Source organism: Homo sapiens, chromosome 16 (genome assembly GCF_000001405.40).
Source record: "Homo sapiens chromosome 16, GRCh38.p14 Primary Assembly".
NCBI lineage: Eukaryota > Metazoa > Chordata > Mammalia > Primates > Hominidae > Homo > Homo sapiens.
The window spans coordinates 68,262,661-68,290,395 of record NC_000016.10 but is presented as its reverse complement, the minus strand read 5'-3'; the positions used below and the strand labels follow the sequence as shown (position 1 = coordinate 68,290,395).

The 27,735-nt window shown below is 49.0% G+C and overlaps 1 protein-coding gene, 1 long non-coding RNA gene and 1 pseudogene across 4 annotated transcripts in view, besides 8 other annotated features; 2 read left to right on the top strand and 1 right to left on the bottom strand.

The window, feature by feature from the left end:
- Window positions 1-25,870, bottom strand: part of SLC7A6 (solute carrier family 7 member 6) — a 37,294-nt gene extending 11,424 nt beyond the window's left edge. The window contains exons 1-5 of one of the 2 annotated variants that reach the window (NM_001076785.3): window positions 25,820-25,870; window positions 23,675-23,803; window positions 16,492-16,578; window positions 15,147-15,705; window positions 2,525-2,650 (exon numbers count right to left, since the gene is read on the bottom strand). In NM_001076785.3, coding sequence (NP_001070253.1) covers window positions 2,525-2,650; window positions 15,147-15,669 — 649 coding nt within the window. In that variant the 5' untranslated portion in view covers window positions 15,670-15,705; window positions 16,492-16,578; window positions 23,675-23,803; window positions 25,820-25,870. The remainder of the gene's footprint in view (window positions 1-2,524; window positions 2,651-15,146; window positions 15,706-16,491; window positions 16,579-23,674; window positions 23,804-25,819) is intronic. The other variant, NM_003983.6, reaches the window with a different exon arrangement.
- Window positions 734-783: an enhancer, noted in NCBI's record as "active region_11012". NCBI's record gives its function as "activates an Ori minimal core promoter by ATAC-STARR-seq in GM12878 lymphoblastoid cells {active_cell/tissue: GM12878}" and the evidence as "EXISTENCE:reporter gene assay evidence [ECO:0000049][PMID:35858748]".
- Window positions 814-953: an enhancer, noted in NCBI's record as "active region_11011". NCBI's record gives its function as "activates an Ori minimal core promoter by ATAC-STARR-seq in GM12878 lymphoblastoid cells {active_cell/tissue: GM12878}" and the evidence as "EXISTENCE:reporter gene assay evidence [ECO:0000049][PMID:35858748]".
- Window positions 3,736-4,030: a silencer, noted in NCBI's record as "tiled region #6227; HepG2 Repressive non-DNase unmatched - State 14:Gen5', and K562 Repressive non-DNase unmatched - State 14:Gen5'". NCBI's record gives its function as "represses a minimal TATA promoter and a strong SV40 promoter by Sharpr-MPRA in HepG2 and K562 cells {active_cell/tissue: HepG2 | K562}" and the evidence as "EXISTENCE:reporter gene assay evidence [ECO:0000049][PMID:27701403]".
- Window positions 6,035-6,174: an enhancer, noted in NCBI's record as "active region_11010". NCBI's record gives its function as "activates an Ori minimal core promoter by ATAC-STARR-seq in GM12878 lymphoblastoid cells {active_cell/tissue: GM12878}" and the evidence as "EXISTENCE:reporter gene assay evidence [ECO:0000049][PMID:35858748]".
- RNU6-1262P (RNA, U6 small nuclear 1262, pseudogene) lies at window positions 6,078-6,173 on the top strand (annotated as a pseudogene).
- Window positions 8,356-8,650: an enhancer, noted in NCBI's record as "tiled region #10574; HepG2 Activating DNase matched - State 5:Enh". NCBI's record gives its function as "activates a minimal TATA promoter and a strong SV40 promoter by Sharpr-MPRA in HepG2 cells {active_cell/tissue: HepG2}" and the evidence as "EXISTENCE:reporter gene assay evidence [ECO:0000049][PMID:27701403]".
- Window positions 14,407-14,566: an enhancer, noted in NCBI's record as "active region_11009". NCBI's record gives its function as "activates an Ori minimal core promoter by ATAC-STARR-seq in GM12878 lymphoblastoid cells {active_cell/tissue: GM12878}" and the evidence as "EXISTENCE:reporter gene assay evidence [ECO:0000049][PMID:35858748]".
- Window positions 24,133-25,332: an enhancer, noted in NCBI's record as "CDK7 strongly-dependent group 2 enhancer chr16:68298967-68300166 (GRCh37/hg19 assembly coordinates)". NCBI's record gives its function as "activates an origin of replication core promoter dependent on BRD2, BRD4, P300/CBP, MED14 and CDK7 cofactors, with strong dependence on CDK7, by STARR-seq in HCT116 cells {active_cell/tissue: HCT116}" and the evidence as "EXISTENCE:reporter gene assay evidence [ECO:0000049][PMID:35650434]".
- Window positions 25,705-25,984: a silencer, noted in NCBI's record as "silent region_7645". NCBI's record gives its function as "represses an Ori minimal core promoter by ATAC-STARR-seq in GM12878 lymphoblastoid cells {active_cell/tissue: GM12878}" and the evidence as "EXISTENCE:reporter gene assay evidence [ECO:0000049][PMID:35858748]".
- LOC124903704 (uncharacterized) lies at window positions 25,939-27,735 on the top strand. 2 transcript variants are annotated; one of them, XR_007065095.1, is made up of 3 exons: window positions 25,939-26,004; window positions 26,982-27,209; window positions 27,700-27,735. It is a non-coding gene; the product is annotated as an uncharacterized LOC124903704 (long non-coding RNA). The 2 variants fall into 2 exon arrangements; XR_007065096.1 differs by having other exon boundaries at window positions 25,939-26,028.

Genomic DNA, 27,735 nt, shown 5'->3' with positions numbered 1-27,735 from the left:
CTGTGGGGGCAAAGGCAGGTGAGGGGTTCAGAGAGAAGGAACAGGCCAAAGGAGAAAGGAAGAGGAGATGGGAGGTGTAAGAGAAAGATACGAAAGGAGAATAGGAAAGAGGAAGGGAAGATGAAAAAAAGGAGGAATGGGGAGGAACAAGAAAGAAAAAACAAGAAGGCAGGGGAAAGAAAAAAAAACATAATTTAACACCAAAAGATCAACAACCACTAGCTCCCTACACTTTACCACCCCACCCACTTCCTCAGGAAAGCTCACATTCCTTTAATAAAACTAGACAATAAAAAACCAAAGACATTCTTGGCCGCCCTCTGATGTGACAATACTTCTTCCAAAACCCTAAAGAATTTCCATTTCCTGCAAATGATCTCACAGCAAGCCCCAGCTCTTCTACCTATTTATGTCAAGAACCCCATTTCACATGAAGGAGTCATTTTTCATTGAAAATTATACCTTCCTGTGAACTACCTCTCTTGGACCAGACTACTGCACAATTTGGTCAATGGGTTTATCAGCCTCATGGGAAGGACTCTATGCTGCTCTACTTGCGGTAGCTATGGTTGCATGGGGGAGATGACATGCTATAGAGGAACTGAGACCTTATCTTTCACTAGGCCTGAGCCACCCCCACCCTCCGGGGAGCCAGCCCAGCCTGTCATTCTCCTCAGAGGCCTCAGAGACTGCAGACACAAAAGCCCAGGGGACAGCACCCAGCTACCCAGATCAGAGACCCTCTGGACATACTGGGGTCTTTAACAAGACCCAGACTTCTAAGGAAGCCCATTGTCACACCCTGAAGAAAGCCTAGACCCAGCTCTCATGTGGTAAAAAGAGCTGGCTATGCAGCAAGAGAAGAGAAAATAGAGACCCCTGTCCTCAGGGGTGTCCATTCTCATACACAGCAGTGGTTCCCTAAGGAACAGATCTTCAGGGGAGGATTACTCAAAACCCAATTTGACCCCAGGATGCTCCTGAGCCTCCAGGGACATCCACATGGCTAGCTCTACTAACTTGATATAAGTACACAGGCTAGACCAGCAGTCTAAGAATCAACAAGGGCAATTCTTTTTTTCTTTTTCTTTTTCTGTTTTTTGAGACAGAGTTTCGTTCTTGTTGCCCAGGCTGGAGTGCAATGGCAAGATCTTGGCTCACTGCAACCTCTGCCTCCCAGTTTAAGGCGATTCTCCTGCCTCAGCCTCCCGAGTAGCTGGGATTAGAGGCACCCACCACCACCCCCGGCTAATTTTTTGTATTTTTAGTAGAGACAGGGTTTCTCCATGTTGGCCAGGCTGGTCTCAAACTCCTGACCTCAGGTGATCCATCTGCCTCAGCCTCCCGGCCTCCCAGAGTGCTGAGATTACAGGCATGAGCCACCGCGCCCAGCCCAACAAGGGCAATTCTTTTTTTTTTTTTTTTTTTGAGATGGAATCTTGCTCTGTCACCTAGGCTGGATGGAGGGCAGTGGCACAATCTCGGCTTACTGCAACTTCCGCCTCCTGTTTTCAAGCCATTCTCCTGCCTCAGCCTCCTAAGTAGCTGGGATTACAGGCGCGCACCACCATGCCCAGCCAATTTTTGTATTTTTAGTAGAGACAGGGTTTCTCTATGTTGGTCAGGCTGGTCTCGAATTCCTGACCTGCTGATTCGCCCACCTCAGCCTCCCAAAGTGTTAGGATTACAGGCGTGAGCCACCGTGCCGGGCCAAGGGCAATTCTTAAAAGCACAGCTTTTTAGACTCCACACCAACCAGAATGTGATCCAACAGATTTGAGATTAGGGTCTCAGCTCCCCGGGTGACTGTACACAGCCACATTTAGGGACTGATGACCTAGAGAACTGGGCTGTGAAATGATTGAGATATCTGTGGCTAAAGACACCTCAAGACCTCTCTAGGGCTCATGAGATCTTGGTAGGCCTGTTACCCTCACTGCCAGTCCTCTCTGATCCAGGAATGAAAAGCTTTCTAAAGCCAACATTTAGGAAAGACACTGCCAATTTCACAATATTTTAATATTTTTCTGAGAGCTGACTTGGGGAGGGATTGCTGAATACAAGTCCAGATGAAAAGTAAAGGCTGCAAAATAACCACCCATTTCCATACCCCACTTCCAGCTCCATATACCCTGCCACCTGTCTCAAGGAGGGCCCAGTCTTCCTACTTGTAGCTTGGCAGTCACAGACCACAAACAGGAGCCACTCTATCCCCACAGATTACTTTTATGACCCAATCATGACCCAAGCTTCAGGAGCTCCTAGGCCCTTGGCTGGCTTCCTGCAATGCTCCCAGCCTCCACCAAAGGAAACCAGCCCTGAGGGACAGGCTGACTCATGTCCACTTGGCCAAGCCAGCCTGGCCCAAAAAGCCCAGAAAGAAATCTACTCCCATCTCTTGCACTCACTGACACATGCTAGCATGTACATAGAAACAGCCGAGCAGTGAAGCTAACAGAGTCGCCATGTTCTCCTCAGGGAATCCAGAGGAACTGTTGGTGGTACCCCCCTTCCCACCACTTACCCTGGCACAGTTTAACAAGGCCCATGACAATGATGGCAATGAGCGCTACGACCTTGGCGTAAGTGAACGTGTCCTGCACACGTGTGCCCCACTTGACATAGGCACAGTTCACAAATGTCAGCAGACCTAGGAGGAAAACCACAAAGTCACTGGCAGGCTTGAGTTGAGGGCACAGGGGCCCAACCCCTCTTTACAGAGAGCACTCTTTCTGCCCTTCCTGCCTAAGGCAAAGGGGCCAATGGACCAGTCAGAACAAGGCGAACTGGCAAGCGAGGGGACACCCTGCACCCGCCCCAGCTGACAGCACACAGGCACTTCCATCACTACTGGTGCTCAAGGATATGAAGGCATGCGTGAACACATACTTATACATCCTGATGGCTAGCACCATTTCTGGGAATTCCCCCCAGGCCCAGGGATGGGTGATTTCACCTACTCTTTCCCACCCAGACTCCCAAGGTTCCAAACCACAGGAGACACAAGACCTCTTCATGGCCAAAAGAAACTCATCAGTAAGTGAGGTAAATTTGAATGCAGATGGCAGGTTACCTAAGAAATTAGAGAGACAGTGTTTTGCATTAAGTGTAAAAATGAGGCCAGGTGCAGTGGCTCACACCTGTAATCCCAGCACTTTGGGAAACTGAGGCAGATGGATCATGTGAGCCCAGGAGTTAGAGACCAGCCTGGGCAACATGGAGAAACCCTGTCCCTACAAAAAATACAAAAATTAGCTGGGCGTGGTGGTGCACACCTGTAGTCCCAGCTACTCAGGAGGCTGAGGAGGGAGGGTCGCTTGAGCCTAGGAGGTTGAGGCAGCAGTGAGCCGTGCACTCCAGCCTGATGACAGAGTAAGACCTCGTCTCAAAAAAAAAAAAAAAAGGAGAAAAAGAAAAGTCTGTTATATGCCTGACAATTTCACATACACCTCTCCATCAATTCTCACGACTCCAAAATACAGATATTCCTATTCCCATTTTATGGATGAGGAAACTGAGGTGAGAGAAGCTAACTACCATTTCTAAGTTCACATTCCCAAGCCCACTGATCGCTTCCACCCTCATTCCTACCCATACCTCCCAATTCTCAATGAAGTCCATGGAGAAGCGCACCCACTCGAGTACTCCCTAGGCTCACGTGGCTTTAAGTTCTAGCTCCTCACACACTTCAGTGACATCTGGGCCCTGTGCTGAGAGCCCCGGCACTTTGCTCCTGCTAAACAATGACTGATCCATGGGGACGACATAAGAGCAATATCCAGCAGGAAGGAACGCAGTGACATCTGTGAGTACTGCCTCTAGCATACAAAAACAGAACTTTTATGTGCACCTCAAATCTTACTACAAAATCTTTTGGGCCCATCCTCTAGGCCAACTCCACTTACTCCTACCCACTTTGCACTCTCTCCTTCAGCCAGACTCTCTCTCTTACTCGTACCGTACACACACATAAAAAGAAATGTCCTCCCCTCCTCTTCCTGCCATAGCCAACAGCAACTCCCAGTCAAGGTCTAGTTCAGCCCCCACTTCCTCTTCCTCTGTAAAACCTTCTCTGAATACACCACCCCACCCCTCTCTGAGCTCTTTCTCTCCTGAACCACATGGCATTCCTGCTTCTTAGCACAGGTTAGTGTCTATGCTATCATCATGTAGACACCTGTCTCAAGTCTCTCCCTCAGGTGATTGGGTCATGCTTCTCCCAAGATCACAAATTCTCAGAAGGTAACAGCAGTATATCATTTTATTTTCCTTCTTTCCTTCTTTTTTTTTTTTTTTTTTTTTTTGAGACAGGGTCTTGCTCTGTCACCCAGGCTGGAGTGGGTGCGATCACAGCTCACTGCAGCCTCGATGTCCAGGGCTCAAGTGATCTTCCCACCTCAACCTCCTATTAGCTGGGACCACAGGTGCACACCACCACACCCAGCTAATTAAAAAAAAATTATTTTGTAGAGACAGGGGTCTTGCTGTATTGTCCAGGCTGGTCTGGAACTCCTGGGCTCAAGCAATCCTCCTGCCTCAGCCTCCCATATTAGGATTACAGGCATGAGCCACTATGCCTGGCCACGTTGTTTTCTTAAGCTCATCACCAAGCAAAGAGGGGCACTGATAAACCCTGGTTGGAACCAAGGTGGTAAGATTTTCACTCTAACTTCCAATTCCCTGGAGCAAGGCAAATTGTCAGAAAGTTGGATATTCTTCCATTCAAATGGAGAGAAGTGCCTATGGCCAGCCTGTGAAAATGAACACAGGTGGCAGGTGCCAGGCTCAATGGCTTCAAAGAGCTTTCACTCAGTACACTGGCCAGTAACACAGGTGCTTACTAGTCAATCATGATGTGGGAGTAGGGGGACAGTGGTCAAATGGGAGGGGAGAAGCAGCCCAAAGAAATGCATGCTGCTGGCAGGTCTTCCCAGGGACCTACCCTGATGATCAAAGCTACCTGTATGGGGTTAAGCCTCAATCAGCTAACATAAGGATTACCTAGTTAATAGGTACCAGTAATCCATAGGCCCCTACACAGTACAGTAGCCATGTTTTGAAGTACCTGCCCAGCTCCTTCTTGGGAATTGCTCCCCCTTCCCTATCATGACTGATGGAGCCAGACACTGGACCCAAGTTGAGCCTGTTACATTGCCTCTCCCAGAAACACAGAGTTGGAATACCAAGAAACTGAATCTAACAGTAATGGGCAGAAGGGTCAGGAGCTACAGCAAGTGAAAGTCACATACAAGCCCTTAGTAACAAAGGGACAGAAACCATAAGTAAATAGAGGAAGGAAGCAGAACACAAAAAGAAGCAGAAGTGGGAGGGCATGCAGCTTAGACAAAAAGACAGACAGGGGGCCGGGGCAGCGGTGCACACCTGGAGTCCCAACTGTGTGGGAGGCTGAGGTGGGAGAACTGCCGAACCCAGGAGTCCGGGCCTATAGTGCACTGTAATAGCATCTGTGAATAGTCACTGCACTCCAGCCAGGGCAACAGAGTGAGAACTTGTCTCTAAAAAAAAAAAAAAAAAAGACGAGAAAATACACAGAAGAGACAGAGGGGTGAGAGATAAGAGACAAGGAGGCAGAGACAGAAGAGGATAAAAGGAGAGAAACACAAAAAGGTGGAAATAAACATGGAGAAAGAGACTGTCTGACAATATCCTGGCAGTGCTAACTGTGCTTCTGGTTTGCAGCTCCAAGGGGAAGAGAAGCTGATACACTCCTCAGACCCACTAACTGGCACTGGGTCTCACTTCTGATCCTTCTCCTTCCTTCTATCCTGCCATAAATGTCCTACAGGTTTGGTCCTCTCTGTGCACAGGTAAATATTACACACAGTGGAAATTCAACTATGTGCTAAACTAATGAATAAAGAAGGCTGCTTGTGGAAATGCCTGCAGAGTCCATTCCAATAGACCAGCTGGAAGGATACAAAAGCACCTGGTCAGAGTGGCTCCTCTGGGGAGAAAGACTAAAGCTGTGGAGAGGGAAGGAGACTTTTTCCACTCTGTGGTTTACCATGGTTTACCGTGAACATACGCCTCTTTCTAGATAAAAATAAAAATAGTTCGTGCTCACTTCAGCAGCACATATACTAAAATTGGAACGACGCAAAGAAGATTAGCATGGCCCCTGAAAATTTTTAAAAGAATTTGTTTAAAAATAAAAATGGTTCATTAGCAACAATGTAGCACCAGAAGGCAGAGCCAGGGTAGTGTGAAGCTAGGAGGCACCTAGGGCACAAAATTTAAGGAGGCACTCACTCTCAGGGGACCACATGCCGGAACCTGAGAGTGAGTACGCCCTTCAACGCTGACCCCAGGCACCTCGTTTGCCTCACCCTACTATCAGCCCTGCCAGAGAACAGAGAGCTCCTAGAACAGTCTGTCAAGCAGAAGCCAAGTCCCTTGACTGTTCTCCTGATTCTAATTAAGAAACAAAATTTCACCATCTGATCCTTACTCCTCTATTGCTTCCCAGAACTCCCAGCCCCCCTAGCTTACCATAAACTATCAGAGTTCAAACAAAGTCAACAACTGGGCCTTAAAGCCAGATGCTAAGATTCAGCTACCACAATTAAAACATCCAAGCCTTCCCTCTTCTCCTGATCTCATTTCCTTGCTGGACAAGCCTGCACCAAGGAGCGTGGGACCCACGTGAGGGTCTTCAAGGCTCTCTGGGAGCTTATTGCTGAGAAAGGAGTACTCAAATGGCAGATCCAAACTGAAAGCCAAAGCAGAAACAAATCCCCAAAGTCTCTGTGGCAGACATGGCTAGTTATCTTCCTCTATCTGTTCTTCCCTTTTTCATTCGTAATAGAAATTTTAGCTGAAGGCATGGCTGTCCAAAATAAAGCTGACATTGCCCAGCCTCTCCTGCAGGTAGGTACGGCTGTGCAACCAGGTTTTCTCCCGGGATGTATGCAAATATTTCATATAAGACCTCAGAAAGTGTCTTTAAATGGGGGAGGCAGTGTCTTTGTCCTTCTTGTCAGTTACAGTGCAGACATGACAGCTAGAGCTTCAATAACCATCCTGGACCACCAGCTAGAAGTCACAGGCTGAGGATGGCAGGAAGACAGAAGGAATAAACCTGGCTCCCTGAAGAACTGAAGTCATCCAAACCACACTGCCTCCTTTTAACATGTGAGAGAAACAAACATCAACATGTTTGAGCCATGCTGCTAAAGGTTTTCTGTTGTCTGAAACCCAAGTTAATAGTGAATAACATATGCACCCTCTCGCAGAACTGTGCCTTTCATACTCTCTTTCTGATGAGGAGATTGCCTGGCAATCTGAAGCTGTACTCCCAGCTACGCTGACAGTAGTCACAACTCTCTTTTCCCACAGGCAACAGAGAGCGGAGGGAAACCTTCCAATTCCTCCCAGACAGGCTGAATGTTATAAAGGGGCATTCAAGGACAAAGGAGTGCAACCGTAAACAAAAAATAACAACAAAAATGTGGAAGAAAGGCCGGGCGCAGTGGCTCACACCTGTAATGCCAGCACTTTGGGAGGCCGAGGCGGGCAAATCACAAGGTCAAGGGTTTGAGACTAGCCTGGCCAGTATGGTGAAACCCCGTCTCTACTAAAAATACAAAATAATTAGCTGGGCATAGTGGCGTATGCCTGTAGTCCCAGCTAATCAGCAGGCCGAGGCAGGAGAATCACTTGAACCCGGGAGGCAGAGGTTGCAATGAGCCAAGATCACGCCACTGGACTCCAGCCTGGGCAACAGAGTGAGACTCCATCTAAAAAAAAAAAAATGTGGAAGGAAGAAAGGAAGAAAGGCAGGGTAGGGAGGGGACAACTACAAGACATTCAGGAGTGAAATGCTCTCCAACACTCCAGGGGAGGTAAACCCTTCCAAATGGGGATCCCAGAATCAGTGGCTACCTCCTGGGATGTATATAAATATGTAATGTATGTGTCTTTTTTTAAAGTATCCTTGTTTTTTTGTGGTTTTTTGTTTTATTTTGTTTTTTAAGAGACGAGTTCTTGCTATGTTGCCCAGGCTGGTCATGAACTCCTGGGCTCAAGTGATCCTCCTGCCTTGGCCTCCCAAACTGCTGAGATTACAGGCATGAGCCACTGAGCCTGGCCAGTGTCTTTGTTTTTAATTACACAAATACATTTAGTCCCATTATGAAAGCATTCGAACTATATATAGGGTTGGAGTCTTGAAACAACTATGATCAAGACCCAGTCCTCCCTAGCCCCGTATCACTCTCAGAACAAGAAAGTTGTCTGTCCATAGCAACTAGCCAAAATGAGGAGCGTATCTTTTCTACTGAGAACTCTGACCAGGCCTGGGTCCAAGAGAGCAGGAAAGCATGGAAACAATGGATACTCAGGGATCATACAGTGTTTCTTCTTCCCTCCAGTCTCATCCTTCCCAGTCTCCCTCCTTCTCTTCCTCCTGCTCACTGTCACCCTTGCCAAACAAACTCAGGGGGAATGGAGTCTCAGCTGTGAGCAGGCGCTGGGCTTTGATGCCGCTGTGTCAGCAATGAACTACTTCCATGTTGAAATCTTCAAAGCAAATACTTTCCATTGATGTGTATAAGCCTACACAAGAGGGAGGATCCCGAGGTCAAAGCCCACAAAGCTAAATGGGCTGACAACACCCAAGGCAGAAACACCACCCTTCTGCAGTCAAATCAAGTACTCTTATAATACTGGGCACCTGGGTTACTGTGAATCCTGCTGGTCACCTAGGCAAAGAGGAGACCCTATGTACCTACCTCAAGAACCAACATTTCTCCCCATTAGTCCCACAAGTGAGTATGAGCCCCTAAACTTACTGAGTTCAGTCAGCAGCCTGTGGCCCTGCCTCACCACATAAGATTCCAAAACCCCAGAACACATATGAACAGAGTGCACCCTTAAGACAGAGTTTCTCAACCTCAGCACTATTGACATTTTAGGCCAAGTAAGTCTTTATTGTGAGAAGCTGTTCTGTGCATGGTGGTATGTTCAGCAGCACCCCGACCTCTACCATTAGAAGCAAAAAGCACCCCCTTCCAGGAGTTGTGACAACCAAAAGTGTCTCCAGATATTGCTAAATGTCTCCTGGAAGATAAACTCCCCTCTGGCTGAGAACCACTGTTCTAGGATAATTAGTAGGTAAAATAAAATAGCCTGAAATCTGCAAAAAGCTGCTTGGATCTCCTTGCCAGTATAACCTGGGAAGGGGATGGGGTACAGCCAGAAAGCCAGGATCTGAAAGTGCAGTGCCTTCAGAGGCCAGGAAAGTAATATGAGTGAGCAAAGGCAAGAAAGTCTGGGGATAATACAAGAAGTGGAGGACTACAGTGGACTGGGGAGTCCATACTCCATTTAAAAGGAGCCACAGCCGGCTGGGCGCCGTGGGTCACGCCTGTAATCCCAGCACTTTGGGAGGCCGAGGTGGGCGGATCACGAGGTCAGGACATCAAGACCATCCTGGCTAACATGGTGAAACCCCATCTCCACTAAAAATACAAAAAATTAGCCAGGCGTGGTGGCAGGCACCTGTTGTCCCAGCACTCAGGAGGCTGACGCAGGAGAATGGCGTGAACCTGGGAGGCGGAGCTTGCAGTGAGCCGAGATCGCGCCACTGCACTCCAGCCTGGGTGACAGAGCAAGACTCTGTCTCAAAAAAAAAAAAGGAGCCAGAGCCCTCCACAGAGGCTCATGCCTGTAATCCCAACACTTGGAGAGGCTGAGGCAGGAGCATCACTTGAGCCAGGAGTTTGAGACCAGCCTGGGCAACATAGGGATACTCCTTTTAAATAAACAAAAAAGAAATTTTTTTTTTTTTTAAAGAAGCTACGACTACTGAAATCCAGCTTATTTTATCGGGCAGGAATTTGGGTCCAATGATGCCTGAACTTTTGATTTTTCAAGAGAAAAGGCAAGTCCTGATTTTCAAATGTTGGCAACTAATTCAAAATTATTTACAACACCACAAACCAAACAAATCTATCTCTGGGGCCCAAGTCTGGCTCACGGGCCACCAGCTGGCAGCCTCTGCCCTAGAGTTGGTTATATACAGACTTCCTGGGCCCTCCCTTCTAGGATGGAAGTGTCTAGAATGGCGTGGCTATAACTTGTTTAGGCAGTCTCCCAACCAACAAGCCGGACCCCTCTCATGCCTCAATTTCAAGACCAACTTAATTCTCCTATCCTACCGAAGTCTTACCCTAGATTCAGTGCAGACCTTTCATTTCTTTCCCCTAAATAACCTAATTGGTTTCGTGCAATTTATGTCTCCTGAAACCACGTTGTTCCCACTGCCGCCTCTACTCAAGGAGACTCAGCATATCCTAGCTCTGTTGAAAGCCTGATACTGCAACCTAAGTTCCAAGAAGGGAAGTAAGCTGAACCCTAAAGCCTACCCTAGTCGGAAGAGAATATGGTTTTATGACTTGGCCACTACTATGACAAGCAAGTTCTTGCCCTCAGGCCTAGATTCTGGAAAAGCCAGTGCTTCTAGGATAGAAAGCCTGCAGGAATTCAGATCCCGAGGAATCTGGATGAAAGTACATGTTGAATGAAAGAGGCTGGCGGGCCCACACTTACAGGCTCACACCTATGATCCCAGCACTCTGGGAGGCCAAGGTGGGCAGATCACTTGAGCTCAGGAGTTCGAGACCAGTATGGCCAATATGGTAAAACCGCATCTCTACTAAAAATATAAAAATTAGCCAGGCATGGTAGCTTGCACCTGTAATCCCAGCTACTTGGGAGGCTGAGGCAGGAGAATCACTTGAACCTGGGAGGTGGAGGTTGCAGTGAGCCAAGATTGAGCCACTGCCCTCCAGCCTGGGCAACAAAGCAAGACTCTGTCTCAAAAAATAAAAATAAAAGAGAAAATCGAGGCAGCAATTAGTTAACTCCCCAAGATCAACAGTTGGTCAATGATAAAGCTGAAAATTAAATCCAGTCTGGCATGGAGGCCTGCAATCCTAACCACTATACTATACTGCCTGGAGATTGCTTATGTATCTTCAAACCATGTTTTCTAAGAGTATTTGATGAAAGAGATTAAATATGAAATTTTTTTTGAGACAAAGTCTCATTCTGTCACCTAGGCTGGAGTGCAGTGGCATGATCATAGCTCACTGCAACCTTGAATTTCTGGGCTCAAGGGATCCTCCCTCCTCAGGCTCCCGAGTAGCTAGGATTACAGATGCACACCACTGCCACTGCCACCATGCCTAATTTTTTTTTTTTTTAGAGGTGGGGTCTTGCTTTGTTGCCCAGGCTGGTCTCAAACTCCTGTGCTCAAGTGATCCTCCCTCCTCAGCCTCCCAAAGTGCTGGAATTACAAAAGCCATGAGCTACCATGCCCAGCCAATATTAATTTTTTTTTTAATTTTATAAAGCAGTCAGCCGCCCCATCCAGGAGGGAGGTGGGGGGCAGCCCCTGCCCGGCCAGCCGCCCTGTCCGGGAGGGAGGTGGGGGGCGCCTCCGCCCGGCAGCCGCCCTGTCCGGGAGGTGGGGGGCGCCTCTGCCCGGCCGCCCCTTCTGGGAAGTGAGGAGCCCCTCTGCCCGGCCGCCACCCCGTCTGGGAGGTGTACCCAACAGCTCATTGAGAGCGGGCCATGATGACGATGGCGGTTTTGTCGAATAGAAAAGGGGGAAATGTGGGGAAAAGATAGCGAAATCAGATTGTTGCTATGTCTGTGTAGAAAGAAGTAGACATAGGAGACTCCATTTTGTTCTGTACTAAGAAAAATTCTTCTGCCTTGGGATGCTGTTGATCTATGACCTTACCCCCAACCCGGTGCTCTCTGAAACATGTGCTGTGTCCACTCAGGGTTAAATGGATTAAGGGCAGTGCAAGATGTGCTTTGTTAAACAGATGCTTGAAGGCAGCATGCTCGTTAAGAGTCATCACCACTCCCTAATCTCAAGTACCCAGGGACACAAACACTGCAAAAAAAAAAAAAGGCCGCAGGGTCCTCTGCCTAGGAAAACCAGAGACCTTTGTTCACTTGTTTATCTGCTGACCTTCCCTCCACTATTGTCCTATGACCCTGCCAAATCCCCCTCTGCGAGAAACACCCAAGAATGATCAATAAAAAAAAAAAAAAAATTATAAAGCAGTATACAACCTACAAGAAAAGATGACCTCAAAAGGTATTTATGGCTGGGCATGGTGGCTCATGCCTGTAATCCCAGCACTTTGGGAGGCCAAAGCAGGCGGATCACGAGGTCAAGAGATCAAGACCATCCTGACCAACATGGTGAAACCCCGTCTGTACTAAAAATACAAAAATTAGCTGGGCATGGTGGTGCGCACCTATATTCCCAGCTACTCGGGAGGCTGAGGCAGGAGAATCTCTTGAACCCGGGAGGTGGAGGATGCAGTGAGCCAGAGGTTGCAGTGAGCAGAGATCGAGCCACTGTACTCCAGCCTAGGCGACAGAGCAAGACTCGGTCTCAAAAAAGAAAAATAATAATAATAATAATAATAGGCCAGGCATGGGGGCTCACACCTATAATCCCAGCACTTTGGGAGGCCGGGTGGGCAGATCACCTGAGGTCAGGAGTTCAAGACCAGCCTGACCAACATGGAGAAACCCTGTCTCTACTAAAAATACAAAATTAGCCAGGTGTGGTGGCACATGCCTGAAATCCCAGCTATTCGGGAGGCTGAGTCAGGAGAATCGCTTGAACCCAGGAGGCCGAGGTTGCGATGAGCTGAGATAATGCCATTGCACTCTAGCCTGGGCAGCAAGAGCGAAACTCCATCTCAAAAAAAATTTTTTTTAATTAAAAAATAATACAAGGCCGGGCGCCGTGGCTCACACCTGTAATCCCAGCACTTTGGGAGGCCGAGGCGGGCGGATCACGAGGTCAGGACATCGAGACCATCCTGGCTAACACGGTGAAACCCCATCTCTACTAAAAATACAAAAAATTAGCCGGGCACGGTGGCGGGCGCCTACTGTAGTCCGGGCTACTCGGGAGGCTGAGGCAGGAGAATGGTGTGAGTCGAGATAGCGCCACTGCATTCCAGCCTGGGCGACAGAGCAAGACTCCGTCTCAAATAAATAAATAAATAAATAAATAAATAAATAAAAGTACTCTTCTCGACCAGCTTGACCAACATGGTGAAACCCCCTCTCTACTAAAAATACAAAAATTAGCTGGGCGTGGTGGTGGGCGCCTGTAATCCTGGCTACTCGGGAGGCTGAGGCAAGAGAATCATTTGAACCCAGGAGGCAGAGGTTGCAGTGAGCTGAGATCATGCCATTGTACTCCAGCCTGGGTGACAGAGCAAGACTCTATCTCAAAAAAAAAAGTACTCTTCTTTTGGTGGTAGATTTTGGATGACTTAAGAGTAATTTAATTTTCTAAATAAACATGCTTTGTGAGGTTTTTTTTTTGTTTTGTTTTGTTTGGAGACAGGGTCTTGCTCCGTTACCCAGGCTGGAGTGCAGTGGCGTGATCATAGCTCACTGCAGCCTCGACTTCCCGGGCTCAAGAGATCCTCCCATCTCAGCCTCCTGAATTGCTGGGACCACAGGCACACACCAACATGCCCAGCTAATTTGATTTTTTGTAGAGACAGGGTCTCACCATGTTGCCCAGGTTGGTCTCAAATTCCTGAGCTCAAGCAATCCTCCTACCTCAGCCTCCCAAAGTGCTGGGATTACAGGCGTCAGCCACCATGCCTGGCCTAATAAACATATTTTATAATCAGAAAATTATTCCCTTTTTTAGAAAGCTCAGTCAGACCAGAGTCTCCCTAGCCAAAGCCTATCAGACATACAGCTGAGCAGCCGCCTTCCCTAATCCTAAGGGTATCCGTTTCCCCCTCACTATCCCAAGGAATATGGAGCGTTTTCCCTTTAATTTGTCTTTAACAAATTCCATAAAGTCAAGAGGCATGGGTATTCTACAGTCCTTTATTGCTAACTCCAAGGTACTCTCAGGCTATTTTTAACACTGGATAAACTGCATATACTGCCAATGCTTTTGCAAGCAGAGATGTGGAAAGAACAGAATATTATTAAGTACCTCTGGCAGTACAGTGCTAAGGAACATAGAATTCTGGGTCTTTCTCATTTAAAACACTAGTTCTGCAAGGCTGGGTAAATTCACAGCAATCTTTTCTCCTTACTACCCCATAAGAGAAAAAGGAAAATAAAGAGGGATCAACTGAGATCTCTCAGGTTCTATCTGCAGAAACTCAAATGTGGCCGCAGGCAGAGCTTGTTTACAAAGTCAGTGTAAAGAAGTCTGATACACTAGGAAGAAAAGGTGTTTTGTTGTACCTGCTGCTCAGAGCAAGCCGCAAAGAGCAGCAATGGCAGACAGGAAAGGGTCCTGTGGGCCTGAAGTTTAACACCGTAGGACTCCCACAGTCTAGTGAAGCCTACTTTCTCACTGATGACTTTAACTGGTTTAAGATAAAAATCTGGGAAATAAAATAACTCTTTTTTTTTTCCTTTAGCAACAGAATAAAGGCCTCAACACTGGTGGGGTTTTTTTCTGGGCTTACAACTAGCAATGTTGACTTCAATCGAAACAGCTGTCAAGACAAATAAAAGACATGCCCCAACCTGTCACACAGACCACAAAACAGAACAAGGGCAGCCAAGAGAGGAGGAATATGAGGCACCAAAAGCCACGAACAGATTCAAACTTCTCCCATCCCCATCCTTTATGCTTACTTATCTCTCAGGACCAAATGACTGGTAAAATTACTTCCTCAAAAGGTAAGAAGCCTCCCTCCCCTCCAAAATGCAAAATATGCTATTCAAATATAAAGTATCTTTTTTTTTTTTTTTTTTTTTGGAGACAGAGTTTTGCTCTTGTTGCCCAGGCTGGAGTACAATGGCATGATCTCCGCTCCCCACAACCTCCGCCTCCTGGGTTCAAGCAATTCTCCTGCCTCAGCCTCCCGAGTAGCTGGGATTACAGGCATGCACCACCACGCCCAGCTATATTTGTTTTTTCAGTAGAGACGGGGTTTCTCCATGTTGGTCAGGCTGGTCTCGAACTCCCAACCTCAGGTGATCCGCCCGCCTCAGCCTCCCAAAGTGCTGGGATTATAGGCATGAGCCACCGCGCCCGGCCTAAAGTACCGTTATTATAGTACCCCCCACCCCCCAACATCCTCCCAATCTCAGCCCCCACTTACATATGCAAGCAGCAGCCAGGAGACGGCAGGCCAGGTATGGGGGATCACAGCTGGGGAAGGACGGCTGGATGATGTAGTTGGCAAAGGTGATGGCGATGATGGCCTGACCGGTGGGCTCAACAACTAGCAGTGAGACCCACAGGCGGATGAAGGCAATGAAGCCCCCAAAGGCCTCTAGAATATAAGCGTAGCTGGCTCCCGACTTGGTGATGGTGGTCCCCAGCTCTGCATAACAAAGGGCACCCACAACAGAGAAGAGCCCACCAATGGCCCACACAATCAGTGACATCCCATAGGAGGCAGTGTGTACCAGCACACCCTTGGGTGAGACAAAGATCCCTGAGCCGATCATGTTGCCCACCACCAGGCTGACCCCATTCAGCAGGGAGATCTCCTTCTTCAGCTGCATAGTTTCGGAGGACCTTTGAGGTGGCGAGCTGACATCTTCTTCCACCTGGGACTGGCTGGTGTTAGGGACAAGATGGTAGGTGGGTGTGGGCCTCCCAGGCTCCCTGGCTTCCATGACAAACGGTTCCTGCACACCTGTGTTTGCTGTGGCCTGGCAAAGAATACAAGTATGTCAGTCTAGGGCAGGAGCTGGTGAGGCTCTATTTAGACCAGATTTCCCTGCCCACTTCCTATTTAGGGACAGCATGCCATGCACACAGCCCTAACTACAATAGGCCTGTCTCAGTTCCCACCATAGAACACAGGGAAATAGAAGTGGGTAGACCTTCACTGCTCCCAAGAAAGACACCATGAGAGCTCACGCATGATGTGATAATGACTTCTGATGACAAATACCTGTCCTGCAGCCCAGAATAGGCTGGCATTAAATTTGTCCAACGATTGGATTCTCCTTGAGTTATAGATTTCTGCTCTGTTCTCACCAGCTTAAAACCCACAAACCTGCCCTGCAGAGAAGACCAGAGTCCCTGCACCTGGTACACAGTCATCACCAGCCTAAAAGGCTTCTCACTGTCCATACCCAGGTAATCCTGCCCAGTCACCTCTACCCAATGTAAACTGGGACTTCTGCAATGTCCAGCAAGACATGGAGACATCTGCAGCTACTCTCAGGCCAGTACAGAACATGAGGAGGTGATGGGAAGGGCGAGGAAGATGCTAAGACAGGTTTAGTCATTGTAGTGACTAAACCAAGGGGAAGTCCCTCATTAAAATACACACCTGGCTGGGCGCAGTGGCTCCCACCTGTAATCCCAGCATGTTGAGAGGCCGAGGCGGGCGGACCACAAGGTCAGGAGATCGAGACCATCCTAGCCAAAATGGTGAAACCCCGTCTCTACTAAACTTACAAAAATTAGCTGGGCGTGGTGACACATACCTGTAATCCCCACTCAGGAGGCTGAGGCAGGAGAATCGCTTGAACCAGGGAGTCGGAGGTTGCAGTGAGCCAAGATCACGCCACTGCCTGGCAACAGAGCAAGACTTGGTCTCAAAAAAAAAAAAAAAATACATGCCTGGGTATCACTGTGTCTGCAACACCTACCTCACTCTCCCATGTTGCTGCTTGCCCATTCCACATCTTTCTTTTTCCAAAGTACCCGAAAGAGAAGGGTTACGTAATAAGACAGGGTAGAGAAAGGACATCCAGGGGCATCCCAACCCAGGGCTAATTTGCCACTGGTGTATTTGCTTTCTTCCCCAGCATGCCCCTCATGTTGGATTCCACATTAACCTACCTATGAAGGACCCAGAATCTATCAAAGGAAAATAAGCACCTTCCTGACCCTGCACCCAGCGTGATCTTCTCCCTCCCTCAACTCCTGTGCCAGTCACACTTCTGATCCTTTGATCCCATCTCATCTTCAGAAGAAATCTGGTGGGCCATTTGATTCCCACCCACGTAACAGTTAGTCCTTTAAGGTCACAGAGATAACCTCCAAGAATCAGCAATAGGAACAGGATCGGCAAGCACATCATCTTTCCAGAAGTCTCTTATCTGTTCAACAAATGTGTATGTGATGTGCCCGAATCTGGCCTCATGGAGCTCAGAGCAAGGAAACCACAGAGAGTCAAGAGTGAGTAGTTCTTAGGGGAAATGCTGATCTCCACAGTCCCCACCCAAAACTCCTGCCTTCCCTGTCCCAAACCCCTTCAAGTCTGGACCTGAGACCAAGTAAAAAAGCTCCTCCTAGGCCCTAGTGAAGCCTTCCCCCAGTCCCAGGAGTGAAGGCAGCCTACCTCTGCTTCAGTGAGGCTGAGCTTTAAGGCAGCACCACTTTTGCTCTCACTCTGGCACCAAGCCATGCAGGTTTCCTGTGCAGGCACCTGGAAACATATTTGTTTTCATGTGCCTGTCAGGTGAGCCCAGGCATCCATTAGAACAAAACCAGTACACAGCTGGGGAGCCTATAGTCTCACATAAGAGTCAGGTGCAAAGAGACCTAGGATGCCTTTTCTACCCAAGTCAACATGGAGACAAGCAGAGAAATCTGACCCCAGTGACCAATACAGCTCGCCCTATTCCATCAGACTCTAGCTGGGAGGAGGGATTGAGCTTACTAGGTATTCCCTTTGTATTCATAAAACCTGGCACTGGTGTCGCTGATATGGCTTTATCAGGTTTGTCAAATACACTGGCGAAACTACCCAGTGGCCTTATTTAGAGAGGTGGGGCACAGTCACAGCCCCACAAGACCTCATGCCTAGAATTTCAGTCGCAGCACCTGAATGAAAGACAAAGTTCCTGCTGGAAGGTTAAGGACTCCTTCAGCCAAGGAGAGTAGCAGAATCACACAAAACTGAAGGCAGATAAGACTTTTTTCTCTTTCAGTCTCTCTCTCTCTTTTTTATTCAAGAGACAAGGTCTCACTTTGTCACCCAGGCTGGAGTGCAATCATGCAATCATAGCTCACTGCAGCCTCCAACTCCTAGGCTCAAGCAGTCCTCTATCTCGGCCTCATGAGTAGCTAGGACTAAAGGTGCTTGCCACCATGCCCAGCTATTTATTTATGTATTTTTTTTTTAATTTGTCTGTAGAGACAGTGTTTCACTACATTGCCCAGGCTGGTCTTGAACTCCTGGCCTCAACTGATCCTCCTACCTTGGCCTCCTGAAGTGCTGAAATTACAGGTGTGAGCCACCATGCCAGGCTTCTTTATCTTCATTCAGTAACAAAATGCATGCTGGGCGCAGTGGCTCACGCCTGTAATCCCAGCACTTTGGGAGGCTGAGGCAGGCAGATCATAAGGCCAAGAGATTGAGACCATCCTGGCCAACATGGTGAAACCCGGTCTCTAATAAAAATACAAAAAAATTTAGCTGGGCGTGGTGGCATGCACTTGTAGTCCCAGCTACTCAGGAGGCTGAGGCAGGAGAATCACCTGAACCTGGGAGGCGGAGGTTGCAGTGAGCCAAGATAGCGCCACTGCACTCCAGTCTGGTGACAGAGCAAGACTCTGTCTCAAAAAAAAAAAGAAAAGAAAAATGCAATTGTTATCAAGAGCCTGTCCTTGGCAAAAGTAGTTAAAGTTCCTACCTCTTTGCTAAACACCCAAGAGCAAAATTGTGATGTAACCCTAGCAGCTCCCAAGAGCACATGACTAAGTCCCAGGCTGGCTTGGCTACACATACAACCCCAGGGCCATCCCTTACCTTCTCTCCATATCTAAACTTCACCTTGGCAGGGCACAGTGGTGCACACCTGTGATCCCAGCACTTTGGGAGGCCAAAGCAGGTGGATCACTTGAGCCCAGGAGACCAGCCTGGGCAATGGCAAAACCCTGTCTACACCAAAAAACTACAAAAGTTAGCTGGGCATGGTGGCATGGCACACACCTGTAGTCTTAGTTACTCAGGAGGCTGAAGTGGGAGGATCACCTGAGCCCAAGAAGGTTGAGGCTGCAGTGAGCCATGATCACACCATTGCACTCCCGCCTGGGTGACAGAGACCCTGTCTCAAAAAACAAACAACAAAAAGCACAAATAAAATGGGAGCAGACATGATGACTCACGCCTATAATCCTAGTATTTTGGGAGACCAAGGCCAGAGGATTGCCTGAAGCCAGGAGTTCAGGAGTAGCCTGGGCAACATAGGGAGGTTCCGTCTCTATAAAAAAATGAAATAAGAAAAAACTAGGCCAGGCACAGTGGTCCACACCTGTAATCCACCACTTTGGGAGGCTGAGGCAAGAGGATTGCTTGAGCCCAGGAGTCCGAGACCAGCCTGGACAACACAGCAAGACCCCATCTCTACAAAAAATACAAAAATTAGCCAGGCACGGTGGCACATGCCAGCTACTTGGGAGGCCAAGGTGGGAGTATTTCTTGAGCCAAGGAGGTCAGGGCTGCGGTAAGCCATTATCATGCCACTGCATTCCAGCCTGGGCAACAGAGCAAGACTGTTTCAAAAAAAAAAAAAAAAATCCAATATAAAATGGAAAGTCCTCAACTTCCAGCTTCCACTCAGGATGGATAGCACATTCCCACTCCAGTGACAAACAACAATTTTTCTTGGAGCCATCAGAAAGCTGAAGTTACAGGGCAACCAACTAGATTGAAACTGATGGAAAGACAGCCACCTCCAGGGAGATAGAGAGATACAAGGTCTGGCTCACCTGTGGCAGTGGGAGAAAGATGAGACCACCATTTAGGTGAGTCAGAAGAATTCAAGTAAATTTTTTTAAAAATTACCAAATGTCAAGTGTGGGTTAGTAAGAGCCACAGACACTCAGGTTTTTTCCATAGACCTCAGTGGTTACTCAGAAGAAATACTGGGCAAGTAACCTGAGAAAACCGCTCTTGGTAGTGCTGGCTTATGGGAGGGAAAATACAAAGGCCAACCTATACCCTTCTCCTCTAAAGAATAAAAACCATAAACCCCTGGGAAAGGGCAGCAAACTCTGTCACTCCTGAGGCAGCTGGGGCAGGATAAAAGAAAAAAAAAACCTCTATGCCTGGAGGAGGGGTAGGAAATTCTGGGCAAGACCACCGGAGGTGTCTTTCTCCTGGGAAAAGGGCAGGAGCACCCAGAAAGATCCACTCCCAAGACCCAGGGAAACAAACAGGGCCTGCTTAAGACTGAGGCTGAACCAGACAACAGAGAAATCCCTACTCCCTACCACCAGGTTAGCAAGCACCCAGGAACAAGCAACAGTAGTCTACCACTGAGACTGTGCACTGAGGCATAGGTGCACAGAGAAATCCTAAAGCTGAGGGTGGCTGGACGCAGTGGCTTACACCTGTAATCTCAGCTACTCTGGAGGCTAAGGCTGGAGGAACTTGAGGCCAAGAGTTCGAGACTAGCCTGGGCAACATAGCAAGACCCCATCTCTACAAAAAAAAATTAAAAAGTAGCCAGGCATGATGGCACACGCCTATAGCCCCAGCTATTTACTCAGAAAGCTAAGAGGTAAGTTTGAGTTCAGGAGTTGGGAGGCTGCAGTGAACCATGATGGCACTACGGGCACTCCAGCCTTGGTGACAGAGTGAGATGACCGAGTGAGACCTTTTTTCTTTCTTTTTTTTTTTTTTGAGACAGAGTCTTGCTTTGTCACGCAGGCTGCAGTGCAGTGGTACAATCTTGGCTCACTGTAACCTCCACCTCCTGGGTTCGAGGGATTCTCCTGCCTCAGCCTCCCAAGTAGCTGGGACTACAGGTGTGCACTACCATGCCTGGCTAATAAACTGAGGGTATGGATGGAGGATAACCACTGAGAAAAAGCCTCCCTCCTGCAAACCAACCGTAAGCTGGCAAGGAAACATGAGAAGAATTTGAAGTCATTGGTGCACCTAACGTAACCATAGCAACAATAACACCCAAACACTACTGTCTCCTGACTAGGAGTTCAAACTCCCATACAAACAGTCTAGCAAAGAAGAGCTGTACCCAGTTCCCAAAATAAATACTATATACCTCAGTCTCTACTGTTCCACACACGGTATCTGGCAATCAGTAACAAGTTACAAGCAACATAAAAAAAGCAAGAAAAACAACCCACTATCAAGAGGAAAAGTAATCAATAGGACCATATTGAGAGATGACCCAGATAATGGAAACATCAAACAAGGAATTTAAAATAATTGTGTTTGATACATTTAAGGTTCTACTGAAAAAGTTGAACAGCATGCAGAAACAAATGTGGAACTTTAGCAGTGAGATGAAAACCAAAAGGGTCAAAATGGAGAAAGTGAAAAAATAGAACAGAACATCAACCTGTGGGGCAATATCAAATAGCCTAGGTAAATATTTTTTAATACGTATTTTTGCTCTTTTTTTTTTTAGACGGAGTTTCGCTCGTTGCCCACGCTGGAGTGCAATGACGCGATCTTGGCTCACTGCAACCTCCGCCTCCTGGGTTCAAGCTATTCTCCTGCCTCAGCTTTCCGAGTAGCTGGGATTACAGGCATGCGCCACCACACCCAGCTAATTTTTTGTATTTAGTAGAGACGGGGTTTCACCATATTGGTCAGGCTGGTCTCGGACTCCTGGGACCTCAGGTGATCCGCCTGCCTCGGCTTCCCAAAGTGCTGGGATTACAGGCGTGAGCCACCACACCCAGCCAACAAAAAAATTTTTAAAAATTTTAAATTCCTGCAGTCTCCTGCAGCAGGTAATAAAGGAATTTAACAGACTACCAAAATTTCCCCATGAAAATTTAACCACGAAACTGCCACAAGCAATTTTTGGAATAAATGAATTTATCACAATTCAATTACATCAGAAAACGGGATGAAAGGGGGGAAAAGCTCGATTACAAAGGAAGTTTTACAAAGTGGATTTGAAACCAAAATTTTTGTAATGACTAAAGGAAAAAATGCTATTGAGAATGTTTGGAAAAACTCAAAACCATTTTTACTGTGTACTCTCACACCACAATAATCAACACAGAAGAGTTCTGTGACCAAATGCCGGAGGGGGAGGGTTCCCCACTAACAAGCAATCATTTCTCCCCAGGGACACCAGCTGAGTGTCCTCCAGTTCAATCCCAACACTATCTACCTGGAGACAGCATCAGATCCCACAGCAGAAGGGCTCAGTTCCACAAGACTGCCCCTCCCCAACAGGATACCTGGCACAAATCCAAGCCTCCTGAACTTCTGACCGAACTGTTTCAAGTTGGGGCTCCCAAGACTCCTCTTTCAGTTCAATTAATTTGCTAGAGCGGCTCACAGAACTCAGAGAAACACTTACTTACCTTTACTTGTATATTATAAAGGCTATTACAAAGGATACAGATGAAGAGGTTTGCAGAGCCACATATGGGGGAAGGGTCACAGACTTTCCTTGTCCTCCCAGGGAGAAGTACCATCCAGGAACCTCCACATGTCCAGCTATCCGGAAGCTCCCCAAACCCCCAGCCTCTTGGGTTTTTATAGAGGCTTCATTACATAGGCATGAGTGATTAAGCCACTGGCCATTAGTGATCAACTTAACCTCACCCTCCTCCTTTCTCCCCTCCCCGGAGGTTGGGGGTAGGGCTCAAAGTCCCAACCCTCTAATCCTGACTTGGTCTTTCCAGTGACCAGCCCCCATCCTGAAGCTTTCTAGGGGCTGCCAGCCACCAGCCATCAGCATACAAAAAGACATTACTTTGATCTTTCTAAGTATTTTAGGAGTTGTATGCTAGGAAACGGGCTGAAGACCAAAAAATATTTTGCTATATCACAGAGAAATACATCAAAATCTTTTTATTCCCCCCTCTGGTTGAATCAAAATCTTAACTATGGTGAAAACACAGAGGACTTTTTCTTATAAAACTCTCTGAGTTATGGCCAGGCGCGGTGTCTCACACCTGTAATCCCAGCATTTTGGGAGGCTGAGGCGGGTGGATCGCCTGAGGTCAGGAGTTCGGGACCAGCCTGGCCAACATAGTGAAACCCTATCTCTGCTAAAAATACAAAAAATTGTCCGGGCATGGTGGTGGGCACCTGTAATCCCAGTTACTCGGGAGGTTGAGGCATGAGAATCACTTGAACCCGGGAGGTGGAGGTTACAGTGAGCCAAGATCGCACCATTGCACTCCGCCAGGGCAATGAGAGCGAAACTCCTTCTCAAAAAAAAAAAAAAAAAAAAAAAAATCCACCACAATTGGGAGGCTGAGACGGGCAGATTGCCTGAGCTCAGGAGTTCGTGACCAGCCTGGCCAACATGGTAAAGCCCCGTCTCTACTAAAAATACAATAATTAGCTGGGCATGGTGGCGGGCGCCTGTAATCCCAGCTACTTGGGAGGCTGAGGCAGGAGAATCGCTTGAATCCAGGAGGCAGAGGTTGCAGTGAGCAGAGATTGCGCCACCACACCCCAGCCTGGGTGACAGAGTGAGACACTGTCTCCAAAAAAAAAGAAAAAACCCACCACAATTACTCTTTATAAAGAATTGTAATATAAATAAATGTATAATTTATTTTTATAATAAATTACAGTGTTATTTAATATGTAATACTAAAGAGTTGTTAATTATGTGTAAGCCATTCTGTTTACTAGTATTGTATTCACACTGTATACAAGTAAAAACTCTTTGTAAATCACACAAACAAAAGAAAAGACAGCGCAACAATATTCACCTGTCAAGAAATACGCGAACATCACACTTTCATAAGCCACCTCCTCATAAATGGGTCCAGTACTGAGAAGGAAATGAAGTCCCCTGCAGCAAGGCCTAATTCCACTTGTCTGCCTCGGCCACATAAACTCTGCAACAAAGAGTGGGAGGGAACTGATCAAAAAATGAACTCTTTTAACCTGAGAAAGCTGATTTAAATATATATATATATGTAATTATTTTTAATTAACCAAGAAAGCAGCAGAATGATATTTCCTTGTAAAATCTAAATTTTACATGCCCGGCAGGGGCAGTCCTAATTACTAGCAGGTTCCATGACACCCACAGGGTGGGTATAACTGAAGTAGCCAGCCCAAACCTGTCAGAGAACTGGCCTTGTCACATTAAATCATGTAAGTCTAGGCAGCTCTGGGGCCCCAGGTCCCGTGGGCACCGTTTACATAACTTTTTTTCTTTTTTTTTGGAGATGGAGTCTCGCTCTGTTGCCCAGGCTAGAGTGCAATGGCGCAATCTTGGCTCACTGCAACCTCCGCCTCCCGGGTTCAAGCCATTCTCCTGCCTCAGCCTCCCGAGTAGGTGGGACTACAGGTGCCCACCACCACACCTGGCTCAATTTTTGTATTTTTAGTAGAGACGGGATTTCACCATGTTAGCCAGGATGGTCTCGATCTCCTGACCCCGTGATCCGCCTGCCTCGGCCTCCCAAAGTGCTGGGATTACAGGACTGAGCCACCGCGCCCGGCCTGCATAACTTTTTTAGAAACTAATATACATCCAAGAAATTACAGCAGGAAGCACAAAGGTCAGGAAATTTCTTCTACTAAGAAGTTCCAGGGAGATGGGGATCATAAAACCGGTATATGCAATAAAAATACATCCACGGCCAAATAGGGAAGGAGGACAAGGAGAGGAAGAGAGGAGAAAATCAGGCTGGTGGTTTTCCACACACTTGCCAGGAAAATAAACTCCAGTGTAACGACTTGAATAACGATCTGAGATCAAAGTTGGGAAGCAAAAGCCGTCTGCGCAGCACACATGGGACCTGAGTAATGCAGGCAGCCTGGGCAGGTCCCCAAAAGGCCTCACCGCCACCAAAAAGAGGTGGAACTGATATAAGGAAGTACTCACAGCCTTTCAAGTCTGCTCCTCCCAGATCTGAAATCTGGGAGCAGTTCTGAGAGACAAGCCCCGGATGGCTGGGCACTGAACAGCCGCCCTGCGAGATGAGCTGCCCTGGCTTTTTCCCCTATCAAGGGCAGAGACTGAATTCTTTTTAACTGTGTCACCAAGCCCAGGGCATACAAGAGGTACTCAAAAACGTGTTCGCCGACACCCTGATTCCTATTTATACTGACCATTACACAACATGTTTGCTTAGAGCCCAGCAAAGAATTTTCAGAATGTTTCACGTCTATCTCCCCACATTCAGGAGAGATAGTCACACAAGATGACAGGCTATAGGGACGCTCAAAAGAGCCATAATCACCAGGGGCACGCGGGTTCCCCAGCGCCAGCAGCCCAACGCTCCAGGCTCCAGCACGCCACAAAACCTTGCGGCATTCTCTAAAGTAAAAGGACTGATTTTAAAATGATAATCGTCATTCTTGCGACAGCCCCAGGAAGCCTGGCTCCTGAGGTCCTGAGCCCGCGTCTTTCTTTGCCCCACCGCGGCCGCCACACAGCACAGGTTCTCCGTCCTGCAGTCGGAGGCGCAGTCACAGCCCCACTCAGGGTCACCGTCGCACAGTCTCACGCTCGCGGCGCGGCCCGCGCACTCAGCGTCCCGGTCACCCTCGCACCTGGGGTTTCCCTCTCCACACACACCCCCGGTCTCCCTCACACTCGCCGCGTCGCCAGCACACCCCAAGACTGGCTCCCTCGCGGTCACCATCAGCCTCCGGGGCTCGCACCCATACAGCGTTTCTCCCACACTCGGCCCTCACGCTCGAGGTCCCTCTCTCCTCGTGGCGCCCCCCCTCACCCGCAGCGCCTCTCGCGCGGCCCCGATCGGCCAGCCCCGCGCTGTTTCTGGGCCGCATCCCGCTCCCGACGGCGGCAGCGAAGACCCACAGGGTTCGGCTCCCACAGAACGCGGCCCAGCCCCGGCCCCGCTCCCGGCGCGCCCGCCCATGGCCCAGCCCGTTACCTCCCAGTGGCCCGGCGCCGCCAGGATGCTCGGTCGCGCCGCCGCCGCCGCGGCAGCTCAGGCCCCGCCCCGCCACGTCACCCGCCGCCGGATCGCGACAGCGCGCGCCGCGTCGGGACACAGTTCCGTGCGGGGCCAGCTGGCGGCGGCGCTTCCGGGCCCCCGTGGCCGCCACGGCCTGGCCGGTACGGGGTCCGCCGGCCCAGAACGTGAGCGTGGACGCCAGACAGCCCCCAGCTGCCTCGTCAGGGCTCGAGCAGCCCGTGAACTGGGCCCGGCCACGCTCGCCGCCCTGGAGTTAGATGGGGCCTCCGAGGGCGTCCACAGCGGACATTCCCGCGGGGAGCTCTCATCGGCCCCCGCACCCCGTTCCTATCTCGCACTTGACCTGGGCCCGACGCCCAGGGCGCCCCCTACAGCTCACACAGGGATCCAAACGGCCTCCGCCGCCGGGCCACTGCCACTCGCAGTCTAGGAACCCCAGGAAGACACACACTCTGGGGACTTGTCCAAACACACGCACAGCTCAGACTCGTAGCCCTTGAGGCCCCCGCACCCACAAAGAAACTGCAGGCTCCCTTTGCCAACCCCAGGCCTCCCTGGGGCTCTGTCCTCATCTTCCCAAGAGGGCTGCCACCCCTCTTGGGGGAGCTGCACCTCCTGCCCCCCCTCTTGGGGGAGCTGCACCTCCTGCCCCCTTCCCCTCCCTCTGTTTGCTCCTCCATCTTTCTCTCGAGTTCCTTTTCCTCTGGTGGCTCTGGGGCTCTCTGTCTAGAGCCTCCTGACCTCATGGGCGCCTGAGCCCTCCTCCGAAATTTCCTGTCCACACCTCAAGCACTGACTTTCTCCAGGGCCCTGGAATCTTTTCCCCCAGCCTTATGACCACAAGTACACGTCCTCTGGTTCCAGACCATACCCAAGACCCTGCTCCCTGCCACCCAGTGACAGGGACCCAGCCAGAGATGGGTAGCACCTCAGACCCTTCCTCCCCACTCCTCCCACGGCCTATACCTCGTTTTCTTCTCCCCAGCCACAACGGCTTCTCAATCCCTATCCTGCTCCCCTTACCCCATCTCCACAGAGTAGGGGATGCTCCTAGAATACAGATTGCGATGACTTTGTATCTCCCCTGCCTAAAACCCTTCCATTCTCCTCTCTGCAGGCCTGGGATGACAATACTTGAGGAATCCTCGCTGGTGCTGCCCTCCTGCCCTCTGCTTGGAACCCCTCCCCTAAGTGTCAGTGAGTGGACGTATATATTTGGATCAATCGAGTTGCACCCTTTGCCTCCCAGATCAGTTCCTCCGGCCTCCCTGGCTGAGCAGAAGGACAGCTCTGGACACTTGTGTCAGCACCCAGCCCACGTGTCCCTGCCACAGCTTCATATAAGGTATGCCGGCTCAGCCGGGCCTGGTGGCTCACGCCTGTAATCCTACAACTTTGGGAGGCTGAGGCAGGCAGATCACCTTGAGGTCAGGAGTTCGAGACCAGCCTGACCAACATGGAGAAACCCCGTCTCTACTAAAAATACAAAATTAGCCGAGTGTGGTGGCACATGCCTGTAATCGCAGCTACTCAGGAGGCTGAGGCAGGAGAATCGCTTTAACCCAGGAGGCAGAGGTTGCAGTAAGCCGAGATCGCGCCATTGCACTCCAGCCTGGGCAATAAGAGCGAAAGTCTATCTCAAAAAAAAAAAAAAAAAAACACCATATGCCAGCTCCGTCTGGCTTTGCAGTCTCATACCCAGTTACGTAGCCCATCAGCTGAAAGCCCAATGTACACCACACCCTGAATCAGATGTTCTCCAACACCATCAGTGTTCCTCAGGACCACCCTGCAGGATACATTTATTTGTAACCATTCTTTTCTTTTGCTTTTAGAGATCTTGCTGTTGCCCAGGCTGGAGTGCAATGGCT